The sequence below is a fragment of the Homo sapiens genome, chromosome 11, assembly GCF_000001405.40.
Source record: "Homo sapiens chromosome 11, GRCh38.p14 Primary Assembly".
Lineage (NCBI taxonomy): Eukaryota > Metazoa > Chordata > Mammalia > Primates > Hominidae > Homo > Homo sapiens.
The window spans coordinates 56,599,359-56,616,463 of NC_000011.10; the positions used below are offsets into that span (position 1 = coordinate 56,599,359).

General features: G+C 35.6%; 1 protein-coding gene across 1 annotated transcript; it reads right to left on the minus strand.

Annotated features, from left to right (window-relative positions):
- Positions 1-9,877: 9,877 nt before the first annotated feature.
- Positions 9,878-15,516, minus strand: OR5M1 (olfactory receptor family 5 subfamily M member 1). Its single transcript, NM_001004740.2, has 2 exons — positions 15,499-15,516; positions 9,878-14,161 (listed from the first exon to the last, which is right to left on the minus strand). Exon 2 carries the CDS (start codon positions 14,142-14,144, stop codon positions 13,197-13,199), a length of 948 nt encoding a protein of 315 aa, NP_001004740.1. The 5' UTR covers positions 14,145-14,161; positions 15,499-15,516; the 3' UTR covers positions 9,878-13,196.
- Positions 15,517-17,105: the final 1,589 nt, after the last annotated feature.

The window sequence follows — 17,105 nt, forward strand, 5'->3', positions numbered from 1 at the left end:
AAAACATGTAACAGATCAAAGTGAAATCATAATCATATTAACAACATGACTGAGACCATACTTAAAATATCCTGACCTGAATCTCTCAACATTTGGGCAAGATAAAAGTGACCATGAAGATCATGATGGAACAATCGACGTGTTTCTTCTATGACACATATCCAGACTTGACAATGTTATACTAACTTTTTTTTAATAACTACCATGCCAACACTGGAAACAGGTCACTTCATAAATAAAGCACTCTGTAAATTCAATGTTCAAAACTTGTCCACCGTATTATCTCATTCTACACAAAAGGACATTGGGCTTCTGCCTAGGGTAATAAGTTAGAAGATAAGTCACCTAAATCAATAGAATCATAATTACCTTGTTAAAGCTCACAGGGTCCAATTGAATTTCTTTTGGTTTTTATTTTTATTTTTTATTTCCATAGGTTTTGGGGGAAAAGGTGGTATTTGGTTACATGAGTAAGTTCTTTAGTGGTGATTTGTGAGATTTTGGTGCACCCATCATCCAAACAGTATACAATGAACCCAATGTGTAGCCTTTTATCCCTCACCTCCTCCACCGTTTCCCCCAAGTCCCCGAAGTCCTTTGTGTCATTCTTATGCCTTTGCATCCTGACAGCTTAGTTTCCACTTATGAGTGAGAACACACTATATTTGGTATTTTATTTCTGAATTACTTCACTTAGAATATTAGTCTCCAATCCCATCCAAGTTGCTGTGAATGCCATTACTTCATCCCTTTTTATGGCTGAGTAGTATTCCATCATATACATTTTGTATATATATTACATATAATATATATGTATATATCCATCAAACAACAAGTGGATAAAGAAACTGTGGTGTATTATATATTATATCACATTATAATGTATGATATATATATAATATACCACATTCTCTATCCCTCTGTTTGATGGTACATTTAATTGCCAAATAGGCAAATACTGTTTTGGTGCTGGATTTCATTTGTGTGTGTGTGTGTGGCGGAGTTTCACTCTTGTCGCCCAGGCTGGAGTGCAATGGTGCAATCTCAGCTCACTGCAACCTCTGTCTCCCAGGTTCAAGCAATACTGCTGCCTCAACCTCCCGAGTAGCTGGGATTACAGGTGCCCACCACCACGTTCAGCTAATTTTTTTGTATTTTTAGTAGAAACGGGGTTTCACTATGTTGGCCAAGCTGGTCTTGAACTCCTGTCCTCAGGCAATCCACCCGCTTCAGCCTCCCAAAGTACTGGGATAACAGGCGGGAGCCACCGTGCCCCGCCTAATTACATTTTTAATGGGCTTTTTTATTGAAATATTAATCACCCTTCAAAATAACTTCTCAATTCATCTGTTTTTTTATGAGTCTTTTTTTTTTTCTATTGGAAGTTGAAGTAATGCAAGCAATAAATAGTCCAAATAATTTAACTGAGAATTTTGTGGAAATAGTCTTTCTTCTGAAAAAACAAGAACACAATATCCTACTGCTTTGAGCAAGGAAATCTCAGGGAGAAGCTTCTGCAATTGGACAGAAATGGCTTTGGAGGCATCTGAGCCTGTGCTCTCCTGACATGCACCCTACACTGAGACATTCCCATGTGAATGCTTGCTTCTTCTATTCTGTCCTACAAAGAGTCTAGAAGGTTGGTCTTTGTCTTTAACAAGAGTGGTGTCTCCTTGGAAAGTGGTCATGGTTCAATTTGGAGTGGAAAAAGAAATCTAGAGAAGGCAGCTTCACAAAACATATTTTTATTATTTTTAAGTAATATAGGCTATAAACCTAAAAGTAGCCCATTCTTTATGAAAGGGCTATAAAATATTACATGATACAGCTCTTATAATAGTAAAGAGTGGCATTGTTAACACAAAATGAATCAGAAGGATGATTTAATACCAGATCTTGATTGTTCTAAATCAAGTATAAACAGTAAGCATAGTTTACTATTGAAAGCCAGCAGAGTGGGACAGTTACTGGGAGTTTGCAGTCACACTTCCTGGGTGAAAAACCCAGTGCCTCTAGTTCCTACCTGTGTGGCCTGGGGCAAGTTATTAATTTCTGTGTGCCTCAGTTTTCTTATCCATAAAATTTGATTAATAGCCATTCTCTCTTGATGAGAAAGTTAATTCAGTAAAAGTTTTTAAAATATATCTGTCATGTACTACATGCTTAACAAATTGAGGCTACTAGTATTATTTGGTGAATGATCCAGGTCTAGTCTAGAACGAAACTCAACATCAAAGCATGAGCTCCTTTAGGGTCAAGGATTTTTATCTGATCTAGTTATAGACTCAGCAGCACCTAGATTTGTGCCTCCTGAATTGGAGGCAGTCAATAATTATTGATGAAATAAAAATTCTTTTGGCCTATTTTCTTTTCATTATGCAAACACTCTGTAAACACCAGTACTCTGAAAAGAATAGCAACACTTTAATATAAACATTTTCTAATTCATCAGAATATGTTTCAGCTCCATTTATTTCTATCAATTAAAATATTTACTGCCGGATTTTAAACTTTTTAAAAAATATATCTAATCCTACCTGAGAAAGAAGCATGATTTCATGATTACAGAATGGGTATTGAGAACCTGTAGAGTTTATAATGCAATTACTGTGTGGAGACCAAATCCCTGCAGGTCAATTATTTCTAGCAAAAAGTCATTCAAATTATGAACAACCACAATATTTCGATTCTTCTGAAAATCCTAAGCTCACGGAGCACATGAGTTTTGCCAACTCCACACTGTCTTCAGGGAATCGCATCCCCCAAGAGTGATGTAGGAATGGGATTCATTATTTATTTTACTTTACTCCCAAATAATTTAATATGTTAGACTTTGGGAAATATTAAGTTCCTGCTTACAGCAAGTATAGTGGATGGTATCGGGAGAAGGTTTCAGAGTCTGGAACACCATTGGAAGATAAACTAACTTTTGTTGAACTTGAACTAGTGATATATCAATTTTGAGTTTTGTACATTTATCTTTTTAATAGGGATAGTAATGTGTAAGTGTGGAACATTTTGGATTTATAGATAATATAGGTGTGCTGGTGATTCTCCTTTTCCACCCTACTCCCATTCACATCTATTGTCTTCTCTTCTGTGCCTTGCATTGTTCACCTGGAGTTGGGCTCCTATGGACCTGGTCAACAGGGCACCTATGGTGTCTGGTTTCCAGCTGACCTTGGCTTTTGAGAAGACTCTCTAGGATGTCAGAAGTGGGAAAGATAGGGAATTACCTCAATTTCTTTCTCATTCCCTTCCTGCTTCATTATAAGTGTGCTAAATTGGCTGCATCCCTCCCTGGAGAATGTCTTGGGATGTGTGTCTTGGGAAGATGTTGGCAAGGGATTTCTTCCTGGCTTCAGCTCTCACTGAGCTCTGTGACAGAAGCCACTGTCCTTGGTCCTTCAGACCTAAAGATGGAAATGGTTTTCTACAGTTAGCCTTGACTTTTTTAACCCCTTTGGCTGATTCCTTTAACTTTACCTTTTTATTCTCTGTCTTTTCATTAAATTCTCTTTAGCTAAAACATATGAGTAGAATTGTGGACATCTCAGATCCTGGCCAGAGCATCATATAGTAGTTATTCCGTAAGTCTTGCAGTGAGTTAGTAGCAGTAATAATAACTATTATGATAAATATTATTTTAGCTAAAAATTTGGAATACTTCTACATTCATCATGTTAGAACTTAAAGGAGCCATTGAATTGCCCTCCTTTTGGATCCTGACTCAATTAGAGTCTACACATGGGAGTCAGATATGAAAATTACTAGCATTATTGCTGGTGAATTTGGATTTGAGAATGTGGTTTAGAGATGCTTCTCTGTTCCTTTCCTCTGAGGTGAAGTCACTCAGATACAGTACAGCAATGGGATAACTCTCCTCTCCCCTTCCCTTTCCACAGCCATGAACAGCTTCAGCATCCTTATCAATCACATAGACTAGAAAAGGATGTTTTGGACTAACATCAAGGCCATCACAATAACTCTTTTTATAATCTCTCCAATCCATTCACCCTCCTGAGATAGGATGATGGAAGGTGTAGGAAGAACACCTCAAAGTGTCCTTCAAAATCTTTTCTTCAGTCATTCAATCCTCTGCCTCCTTTGTAGCATGCTTGGTACTCCCTTGGAACAATGTATGTGTTTCAGAAATCTCAGTCCTTTTTAATTTCCTCCTCCCATTTTGGACCCTTTCCATGGCCAAATATTTTCTCTATGACTTTTAAAATATCTCAAAAATCAATTTTTTTCTACAATGAAAATAAGAATAAAGAAATTGATACAATTGCTAGAAACTTTAAAGAAGGTTGTAATGATGCTTTGAAAATATTGGGAGATCTTTTATCTTAAAATCTTACAGAGTTTTATTAATTTATTCTCAATAAAAATTACAACTTTGAAGAAATGCTGTCAATAGAAATTGCATGACACCAGGAAAGTAAGTCATGACCATGACTACTTCTTATCTCATCAACCACTATTAACCTACTATCCAACTCCATTCTTTTTACCTAGGCACTGAGTGTTCCTCTTGTGCCTTCTTCATATGAAATATGAATATATATATATGCATTACAACATATATATATCTTTTTCATATATATTTTTATATCTGTAAAATTGTAAAACTGTCTGAAACATAATTACCCATAAAAATAATTACCCAGTTAAACATCTTAACAAACCCATGTGGCTTGGGGTGTTTCTAGAGTCAACCCAGAAGTAGCTACGAGAATAATATTTTAATTGAAACCTAGCTCTTGCTGTGTTCCTGGAAAACATTATTTCATTCTTCCGAGCTTCAGCGTTTTCATCTGTACCAAATAAGGAGTAATATATATATCACAAAGATACTGCACATGTTAAATAAACTTTGTTTTTCATTGGCAGTAAATGTGGCTATCCATTTGTAAATCCTTTGCACACCTATGGCTGTTATTTAATAAACATTCAGAAGTGATAGTAGTTTTCAGAGTAAGAGTTGCAACGTATGTGCTGTGCTATCAGATAAGGTAAAGAAAATGTTAAAAAAAATTTGCAGGTTTTACAATTCTGTGTAAAATTCTATGTAATTGCTTTGTTCTTTCACAGGAGCCCCATCCAGCTGAGCAGAGATGTGGTAAAACAAGTTTTCAAAATATGTTTTCTATAGTGAGTGTGCTATAAATCTAACTAATTCTGCTTCTCCAACTTGAATTTAGGAAAGCCCGGAGATAATTTAAAACACCAAAAACATGTGTATGGAATACATAATGTTGAAGATTATTTTCACACATAAGTGTAAAGTAATTCATATTCAGTCAATTTTTGCACATTTGGTTTGGTCGTTCACTTTCAAAGTTCTATAATGAACACAATTTATCTCCTTAAGTGAAGAAACATAATTTCTTCACCAAATGTTACAAAATGTTACAAAAAGTGTTACAAAATTTAAAAATGACATTACAGTACAGCTTTCACCTATTTCAGTAAACCAACTACCCAGAAACACATTTTTAAGAATGACAAAGTAAAGAGTATATGCAGATTTTTAACTGTAGCAGCATTTTTGTCCACCTTGACAAGTGCTTTTGTTTTTGCTTTGCCTGTTTGTGTAAACTGGTAGGTAAATAATTTGCACATTTCTCCGTTTTTAGAAAAAAATTATGGTGACCAAATACCTTTAATTATTGCATTACCTAGTTCTGTATGTCAAGACATAATTACATATTACATGGAGTGGTTAAATATGGCTTCCTTTTAAAGAGTAGCTTTGGACTTAGAATAGCCAAATATTTAAATAACCTATTTTGGTTGGTCTTCTTCTTTAGGAAATACATTCAGACTTTAATCCCTTTTCTCCTTCCAAGATCTGGTGCTAGTTGGTGTAAGCCAAAAGTCTACAAGGAGGTGTGCTACACCCTAAAAGAGCTGCTTGAGTTTTCTAGTTTATATAAGCAGAATTCTGGAGAACAGGTGTAGGAATGGATATTAAGGGTGTGGGATAATGGTGGGAGGAATATAAAGTTGGATCAGGCTGAATGTATTGATATGGGCCCACTAAGCAGAGATTCTGCACTCAATGTTACAAATCAGGGAGTTAAAAAATGTTCTAATAGTTTATTAGCTGAAATATGGATCAAAGGATGGCCTACTGTGAGCGACCTTGAAATGCCAGATCTTCCCTGGTTTAATGTAGAGGGAGGAATCCAAAAGCTTTGGGTGATTAGAATTCTAGAGTGGATTAGTCAAATTAGACACTTCCTCTGGATATAGGTTTACCTATCTCTCATGCAATGCTTCTGCCAAGATTACCATTCGTGGACTCCCAGAATGCCTTATCCACTGTCATGGTATTCCACAGACCATTGCCTCTGACCAAGGCACTCATTTTACAGCTAAAGAATAAGACAGTGGGCTCATGCTCATGGGATATACTTGTCTTACCATGTTTCCCATTATCCTAAAGCAGATGGATTGATAGAAAGGTGGAAAAGCCTTTTGAAGTAACAGTTACAACAACTAGGTGATACTTTATTACAGGGGCTGGGCACGGTGGCTCATGCCTGTAATCCCAGCACTTTGGGAGGCTGAAGCGGGTGGATCACTTGAGGTCAGGAGTTCGAGACCAGCCTAGCCAACATGGTGAACCCTCATCCATACTAAAAATACAAAAGTTAGCCAGCCGTGGTGGCACATGCCTGTAATCCCAGCTATTCGGGAGGCTGAGACAAGAGAATCGCATGAACCTGGGAGGCAGAGGTTGCAGTGACCCAAGATCGTGCCACTGCACTATAGGCCTCTGGAAGACACAGCAGGACTTCATTTTACAAAAAAAAAAAAAAAAAATGCAGGCCTGGGGCAAATTTCTCCAGAAGTCTTTGTATGCTCTGAGTAGGCATCCAATATGTGGTACTGTTTCTTCCATAGCCAGGATCCAAGAATGCAGGAATCAAGGGGTGGAAGTGGAAGTGGTGCCACTTACCATCACCTCTACTGACCCACTAGCAAAATTTTCCTTCCTGTTTCTGTGACATTATGTTCTGTGGGCCTAGAGGTCTTCGTTCCGGAGGGAGGAACTTTGCCACCAGAAGACAGAAAGATGATTCCATCAAACTGGAAGATAAGTTTGCCACCTGGCCACTTTGAGCTCTTCCTGCCTCTAAGTCAACAGGCTAAGAAGGGAGGTACAGTGTTGGCTGGGGTGACTGACCCAGACTATCAAGATGAAATCAAACTACTACTCCACAATGGAGGTTAAGGAAGAGTATTTGTGGAATACAGGAGATCCCATAGGACGTCACAGTATTACCATGTCCTGTGATTAAGGTCAGTGAGAAACTACAACAACCCAATCCAGGCAAAACTACAAATGGCCCAGACCCATCAGGAATGAAGATTTGTGTCACTCCACCAGGTAAAAAACCGTGTCCTGCTAAGGTGCTTGCTGAAGGTAAAGGGAATACAGAATGGGTTGTAGAAGGAGGTAGTTATGAACTGACCATAAGGGGTCAAGCCCTGCCAATTCCTCCATTATTCCCCACAAGATTAGACAGAACTAGGCCCCTTGGGAAGTGCCCTGGAACACAGGGAAGTTGGATGTCTGCCATGGGCTCTCTTTTCTCCACTAGAGAACACAGGCCCAAGAAATCCCTTTCAGTGTGACACTGTTTGGTCGGGAAAGAAGCAACACAGTCAAAGTGAAACTGCTCCCCTTACACTTCTAATATGACTTTTCCCAGTTTCTGTGCTCCAAGAGTGTGCCCCACCTCACCCTTGGGTTATGGAATTTTTACCTAGGCATTCTTATCTGTGAGAAGTTGCTAACTGGTCATTCTGTTCTGGAAACCAGAACTGAGCACCTCCTCTTCTGCCATCACGCTCTACAACAAGTTTTTAACTCCTTGCTTTTTCCTACTTTTATTTTTAAATTCTACTATTATAAATAAGCATCCTGTAATTATATATCCTGAGATCTGAATTAAACTGGGCATACAAAGTTTTTGTTAGCTTATTTTCTCAATGTAATAGCAACAATTGCTTATCATGGAAAATTTGGACATAGCTATTAATAAGTTTTGTTTCTCTTTATCCCTGATATTTTACAAGATATCCATATGTAGCATTGGATATGTCTTTGCACATAATATATTACACAAAATGATTTACCTTTTTCTTAACTAGGAACATCCTCACTTTAATAGCTGTATAACATTCTAAGAAAAAAAAATTAAACTGTACTTTACACTTTCCTTCATGATCAAGGCTGATGACATTCTAGTTATTTAGAAACACCTTCTACCCCATCTGGTAGATGCCTGTGCTTTACCAGTTATCCAAAGCAGGCAGTCCTCACTTTGAGATTTTGTAATATCTAAGTAAGAACCATGCAAAACAAGACACGTTTGCCATATAGAAAGGTTTCTGTTACATGGTACGGTGCTAAGTGGGAGCTACTTGTATTTCGAACATCATTTGTTTGCTTTTTCTTGATTATAAAATGAACACCATGAAACTCTTCACACAAGTTTCTAATTATGCCTTCAGTAGATTCTTAAATTTGGAATAGCTGAATAAAATTATAGAAACATTTGACTCCTTAAAATATTAATAATATTGTATTTATTTCTAGAAAAATTTTATACCATTAATCAACCAATGTATGAACGTGCTAGACTTTTTCAGCTGTCTTAAATATAGACACATAAACAGTATTGTACTTCATGTTTTTAGCTGCCACTATTTTCTGCGTTAATTTTAGCATTTTGTATTTTAATCAATTTTCTACGTATAGTATTCAACATTTATTTATATGGTCATGTTTTAGTGCTTCAAATGATTTATATTAACATAACATATTTCAGTAATTGTGCCACTTTGTCTTATTTGTGACAAATACATTGCCAGACTGTAGGGTGGGTCTTATTTTTAAATAGTTTTATTGTCAAATTAAAGCAACAGTATTACTGTGAAGTATTCCCATTCTTAGGAAGCACAGAGTAATTTTTCTCTGATTATTTAAATGTTTAATATTTATTTTAATTCTAATTAATAGGGTTTTTTCAGTGTTTGAAATGATTCCTAGCAGAAGAATATATGTGGGCATGTCAACTCTTTTGGGTGGAGTTGTTGGCAAAAAGTCAGCATAGTTAGAGAAAAGAATCTGTATTTAGAGATATTTGTTGAAAAAAAGTGTTTTATTATGAACGCCGGTATGGTATAAAAATAAATGTTTGTATAAAGTTGTTAATGAATCGATAGAATTAATATACCAAGGTTAAGTGTTTTCTCCTTACTCACAGGCCACCAACGTTTTCCTGCCTTTCTGGAAAACAAACTTAACAATAAGCAGTTTTCCTATGGCCCCCATAGAGAGGAAAATAGTTTTCATTGTTTTTCAAATAATTTACAGTGTTTAAGTATTTCATGTATAGCCACATTGAAATATATATTTGCATATATAAAGTATGCATATAGTTTCTAAATTGAACAATAGTATGCATAATTTATGGGTTAAAAATACTGGATATCTAAAAGCAATCATCAGATGATTTGCAGTCTCCTAAGAGAAAAGTGAAGATAACATTTTTCCATCAGAAATTAAAACATATTTTAAGTGTACACTAATCATACGAATTTAGTTTAAAATATATGTATATTGTGGCCAAACATAAAGAGGAAATAGGCAGAAATAGATTCACTTATGGTATAATAAAGGTGACATCACAAATCAGTTGAAAAACAAAGCATTGCTTAATAAATAGTGGGAGGAAATTGGTTAAAAATAAGAGGGAAAAGATAATTTTTAATATTACAACACAGTACAAAAATGTATTATATCTAAAATAATTCCTGATATCACTATCAAATATTGCAATGAATATAAGTGCTTGTTTTTTCAATTTTAGGATGAGGAAAACTTACATAACAGCAATAAGCAAAAGGTCACATTTTTCCAAATAGAAATACAAACATTATTCATGCAAGAAATTATCAGCAATAGCATGAAGAGAAATTATCAACCTTATGTGTAGCCTTCATTTGTTCAATATATGCTTCAATTTTTATTCTGTGCTTATTAGAACAGAATTATTTTCTAAGACTTCCCTTGAGACATCAAAGAAGCAAATAACCATAAACAAGAGCTCCTACTACTGATAGAGTTATAGTGAAATGATTATTCTCAAATATTACTAGTACAGGTTTAAGTTGCTAGAAGCTTTCTGGAGAAAAATTTACCCATAGAAAAATTTAGCAGGAGTTTCAAAAGCATTGAAAACATTTAATTCAGCAGTTCCACTTCTGGGAACATACACAAAAGGAACAATTAGAGATGCACAGATACATCAGTCATAAAAACACTAAGATACATTGATATGATGGAATCATGGTTTGCAAGATAATCAAATGGAATAAAACACAAGTGAATGCTGAGTTCAGCTCTCTTCAGGTAGGTGATTATAAGTAAATGTTGCTTCTATGTCTTATGTATGTCAATATGGTTCAGTCAGTTTTCTACAATTGATATGTATTATTATTGTATTAAGGTCATATGATCTAACTATTATATGACATTCAACATGATGTTCATCAGAAATATTTAATCTATATAAAGGTGCATACATTATATCAAGTGAAAATCAGTGTTCAAATTTGTATATGATAAGTGATTTCACATTTGCTTGATGCATTTTAGTAACATGTACGCATATAAACTTATTGAGAAGAAATGTAACAAAATATAAAGAAAATGTATCCTTTGTCACAGGACAGATCCCTCATAAATTTTACTCCCTCATATTTGTCTGTACCTGGTAATTAATTAATATGAATATGTATGCCTTTGCGACTGGGAAAATATATTAATAAAATGCAGCCTAAATAGCATATATGTCTTCTGTATATCAAAATTTTCTCCCTTCACATGGACGTTAAGACAATTTTAATTATAATGCCTATAAATTATGTTAACCGGAATTTTCAAGGGAAATTCTCATTAGCTATTCTTAGGATACATATAACTATCACATAATAACCACTATTTCATCTATAGCAATAATCTCATCAATTCATAATCTCCAACATTCCACCAAGCATTTGCAGTGTTTTGAGAATTTCTTTAATAACAACTACAGTATGAATTAGAAAGAGAGAGAATTTGAAACCAAGAAACCTGCTTTTGTCCTACTGAGTGGCCAAATGACTTTGGGCAAGAAATTTAATCTCTCCGTGCCTCAGGCTCCAATGTTGTAAATGGAGATAATAATTCTCTCATTATTTCATTTATGAAGATTAAAATAAAGTGTTCCTAAAATCAGCACTACACTGTGACTGCAACTCTTATAATTACTTTTATTCATGTCGATTTATGTTCTATCCTATCTCCAAAGAATTTCTGAGGTGACTTTTACCCAAAGACATGCAGAAGGAAAAAATTAAATCACAAATAGAAATAAATAAAATATTTTATTAAAAATCAATTAGAAACAGGTCAGTCATTTTGACTAAAAGGATGTCAAAGTTTAAAAATGGTTGCTGCAAGCCAGAGCAATTCTCATAACTAGAAAATAAATGGAATCGTACAGTTATTTAGGCCAAATATAGAGTATTTTTTGCACTCATTCTAAAATCCAATTTTCAAATAGGGTTTCAAATCTGGATATGAGACCATTCTGCTTGCCAGAAATGGAATACAATGCTTTGCCTAATAGATGGAAATTTCTCATAAAATAAAGAAATACCCCACCGATGAAATGATGCTGGCCCTCAAAAAGGAAGTGAGGACTCTGTGTCACTCAATTCCCAGCTTTTCTGCTTCATTGTTGTCTCTGCAGATGACCTTCCTCTGTTGTCCCACCATCATTGCCAAAACCAAGCAAATACAAAAACAAACAGTGCTAAAATGTAATTGTTAAATTCTTGTCACCGAAATTTGCCTTCCTTCTTTTTCAGATACTGTTTCTGAAAGAGGATTTGGCTAGAAACAGACTTAATCAAATGAGACTCAAGAATATGCCCCCATTTTACAAAAACTGCAAGTCATCTGCTTAATATTCTGGAAAACCATTTGAACACTTTATAGTAGATATAGTAGTTGATATCATACAGACATTTTCTGTAGCATATTCTGTATGGTGTTAGTTAATATCAGAGTGCAAAATATTAAAATGCCAAACATATGAGGCAATTTATTAGGGCTAAATACATATGTATCAATATGCAGTCATCTGGTTGACTAATAATGCATGGATTAATGTGTCTCCTTAGGTAGCCTCTCTGAGATTGATTTTCTCTATAGCAGCTTCAAGAACTACTAGAACACCCTTATTTTAAAAATAATGGGCCACAGAAAGCTTCATGAAGCAAAATAAACACTGAGTATTTCCTCCAGAAACATATATACACCCCTATTTATTTGTATACTGTTTCAAGACATTTGTGGGTATGCACAGGGCAGTTAATAGACCCTATTGACTCCTACTGAATTAGTCCTAAGTCAGAGGTACGGCACTGGAAAACATAACTGGAATGCAGTTAAAGTAGTTTGATGATAGAATTGGATCCATACACTTGGAAACTCATAAAAAGGTGTTGAGAGTTGATTTTCAGAATCAAGGACGATAACCAGTATTATCATATGAACAAAAAAGAAGCTTCTCAAGATATTTACAAGATGGGTTTGGGGAACACTTACAGCAAATTTAACGTATCAGTGACCCATATATTTATATTTTTTGCACATTGATTACAATAAGCACAAAGGTAGCTGAGCTATTGTTCAAGACACCATATTGAAGTAGAAATAATTTCATTTTTTAAAAAGTGTAAAATTATCCACCCTATCTTGAACCTCATTATGGCTCTGTGGACCATCATATTCAAAGGAGATGAATTTTCAGAATTTCTCTCAGCCTAAGTTAGTTAAAAATTTACCCACCCCCCAAGTAAGTAAACATAGTATTTTCATATAGAATTATTAGATACTAAAAAATTTATTTTCATAGAATTTCTGACAAATAAAACATTTTAAATTTCTCAACATTAAGGCTTTTATTTCTAAGAAATCAATCTTCAAGGTTTTCATTTGGATAAGAAAGTAAAGTGGTTACTGACAGTCCATGATGTTAAATAAATCACGACTACACTAGGTTTTTCCATTTCAAAAGCCAGTTTGTTACTCCACAAGCAATTCGTGACTGCAAATAAACACAAGCCTAAACTGCAATTTTATGAAAGGATTTTCCCCTAATCATTTGTTGCATGGCAAGGATTACATCTGTGTTCCGTAGGCTATAGATCAATGGGTTCAGCATTGGGCTCAAAAAAGTATAAAAGACTGCAGTTATTTTGGACTCCTCTACAGACTTCTCTGATGGAGGCCTTACGTACATGCAGAAGAGGGTTCCATAAAACAAAGTGACTATTGTCAGGTGGGAAGCACACGTAGAAAAGGCTTTGTGCCTGCCTTCAGCAGAACGGATCCTGAAGATCGCTGCAAAAATGAAAAGATAGGACAGAAGAATGATGAAGAGAGAGCTTGAGAGATTAAAGCCTGCAACTACAAACATTGCCATCTTTTTGACACGGGTGTCAGAGCAGGCCAGCATGATAAGAGGAGGATCAGCGCAGTAGAAATGATTGATTTCAAGGGAGCCACAGAAGGATAAGTGAAAGGTTAGCAGTGACTGAGAGAACCCACTAAGAAACCCATACATGTAAGGGATAGTGACCAGACAGACACAGATGTTCTTGGACATCCTGGAACTGTAATGCAAAGGGCTGCAAATGGCTACATAGCGATCCAATGCCATTGAAGCAAGGATGTAAAACTCAGTGATCACCAGGGCGATGAAGAGAAGACACTGTGTGAAGCATCCAGCGTAGGAGATGGTCTTCTGTTCTGAGAGGAAATTGTGCAGCATATTTGGAGTAACATTGGAAGAATAGCAAATGTCTACAAAGGAGAGGTGGCCAAGGAAGAAATACATGGGTGTTTGCAGGTGGGAATTGGTCCTGATCAGCAGGATCATGCACAGGTTGCCTGCCAGTGTGATTAGGTAGATCGCAAGGAATACCCCAAACAGGATCTTCTCTAGCACTGGGTCGTCTGTCAGTCCCAAGAGAATGAATTCTGTCACTATGGTGTGGTTTGGGGAGAACATCTTCTTATCTCTTGAAACTGAAAGTGACAAAGAATGTGAGGATTTCTCTCTGATTCAGATTTGGCATTTGTTTCATCCATTTATCATTCGCTCATTCATCTATTTATCTAGGTGACAATTACTTCTCTTGTTTCAATAATCACATCGGAAATTTTACATAACATTGTCTCCCTATATGTCTGTTTTAATCTGTATCTTTCTATACATCAAACCCACATAACTTACACAAACATACATATTCTCTATTTCTCTCTGCCATACATGTATACATACATAAGTTTATTCATTCCTACATTTATACCTGTCTTCTTGGTGTACTCCACATTTGGTAATTTTATTCAAACTTCGTGAGGAAACAAAAAATCCAAAGGAATGAAAATTAAATACAAAAACCCTAGGTTATTTGCATCTTTCAAATGGATAAATAAAGGAAGTCTGATCTTTATTATACCTCCAGCTCTGATATTGTATTGTTTCAGATACAAAATGAAGAAAGAAAAGCAAAGCATTTTCAATTAAGACCCATAGCTGTGTGCCTTACCTTTATTCAGGAACGATTAAACTAGAGAAATTAATTTCTATCTGATATATGGCTAAGAGGGTACAAAATGAAGACTTGTTTTTTTCCACTTTGTAATGTCACTGCCTGTTTACTCATGTATACTGTATAGCTTCATTTCTTTCTGTTCCAATTCCTGCGGTTACTACAGTAAACAAGTCTCCCAGCTCAGGGAGCACACATTATAATAGAGGGAGCAGAGCACACATTATAATAGAGGGAACAGAGATTAAACACACAGAAAAAGTTACATACAATTTCAGGCAAACCATTTTTCTGTGAAGAAAACATGAATGTAGGATGCTTTTAGATGACCACTCAAAGAAGATCTTTCTAGGAATGCAGCATTTAAACAGCAGATATGCAATTCTACTATTTGGGGAAAGTGTGGATTTTTTTTGTTCCCATTTTTGTGCCACTAACCCACTCATGACAATATTGTTTAGGTATGCACAGATAATTTTTAAAAGGGGTCTTAGCTTCCAACTCAAGCCACTCTCTCTCAGTTCTCTTTGAAAGTAACATAAGATTGTAAAAATTTCTACTCCAAAAATTCCACCTTAAAGCCATTGTTTATTTAGTTCTCATGTATACATCAAAAGAGCTTACATATAATTGATTGTAGAGAGTCAATGCAATACTAACATATGGATAGAAAAGTCTAGTGAAATTGGAGAAAATATTTGTTTTCCCCATTGATGGAATACTTATCTCTACACACACACACACACACACACACACACACACACACACACAAATTGTATTTTTAGTGAACAAATGTAGAAAATGACCTACCTGTTAATGTTAATGGACCATATCTTATGAAAACAAGGTAGCAAGATTTACAATATATTTATTAGGTATCTTCCCTAGAGTATTTTTAAACTAATTCTAAAGAGCCAATTAAAATATGCTTTGTTCCTCAAGAGCATAACCTTCATTTGATGCTTCCTGGAGCTAGACTCTCCTGCGAGGATAAAATTCCTATTTTACATTTATGTAGAGTTTCGGTACAAGTGTGCATGAGATCCTTAGTACAAACAGAGAAATTAGCCATCCCTTTCAATAACATGGAAGAGGAAAACATGGGTAGATAACTTCTGCCTTTTTAGTATGATGAAAACAAGGAATTCTCATCAGAACTCTTCAGCTTTTGCCTATAAACACTGCAGTGAGGTCATCTAATGAGTGAGGGGTAGGAAGTTGTGGCAGGTGAGACATTTGAGAAGATGAAAGATTTCAAAGACTGTGAGAGCAGAAGAGTGGCATAATCAGTAGAAGGAGGCAGAAGTATTGGTCAGGGCCCAGGATCCTTTGGAGGACGGGCGTTATGGATTTATTTTGGAACTAGTCTGCACTATCAAGGTTAATATTAACATGCTAATCATCAAAGGTCTCAGAACCAGGGCTATTTATAAAATTGATGATGCATAAAATTGTTGATTTAGAAAGGGAATTGCAAATAGAATGAGAATATTTGAAAATTGTGTAGCACTGTATTTGTTGGAGGACAAAGGGACCTAGAGATGCGTTCATTAGTCTGTATCTTCCAGTGCACATATAGTTCCAGGTTAGCACAAATGGATCAAAGTACAGTCTGACCAAGACGGAGAATCATCCCTAATTTTATTAGAGTTGCGGGTGGTGGGTTATACTCCGAGAAATCATTTAATAAAATATAGCTATATATCAAAATCAAAATGTAGATTTGTTACATCCCATGAAATTTGAGAATATAGGGCATTCCTATATGTTTATTTCAAATTGATGTGTAAAGTCTTCTCTATCTCAATTATTCTGTTTTATTTTGGTTCCTTGCATTACTAAAATTGTAAAATGCAATAATATTGCTTAAATATTTTGGAAGCCGGGCACGGTGGCTCTTGCCTATAATCCCAGCACTTTGGGAGGCCAAGGCCGCTAGATCACCTGAGGTCAAGAGTTTGAGGCCAGCCTGGCCAACATGGCGAAACCCTGTCTCTACTAAAAATACAAAACTTAGCCAGGTTTGGTGGTGCGTGCCTGTAATCCCAGCTACTCAGGAGGCTGAGGCAGGGAGAATTGCTTGAACCCAGGAGGCAGAGGTTGCAATGAGCCAAAATTACACCACTGCACCTCAGCCTGGGTGACAGAGCGAGACTTCATCTCAAAAAAAAAAATTAAGATGGAATATAAGGTATCATAAGATTATAAAACTGGTGTCCCTCATTTCCTCCTCCCTTAATGTAGAGGTACCTTGTTTTGCATAAAAATGTTGAAGATTTGGATAATTTTTAAGTAGACTGCTTTCACTTTGAAGAAAAAATTCCCTAATGTATGTGTGTATGTATGTATGTATTTTCTTTTATATGTTGGTATACAATGGCTACATAATAAAACATAAGATTTACAAAGTGAATTTT

What these genes read in the sequence shown, in the direction of transcription:
- OR5M1 (NM_001004740.2), bottom strand. Translation starts at nt 14,144, where the DNA reads ATGTTCTCCCCAAACCACACCATAGTGACAGAATTCATTCTCTTGGGA.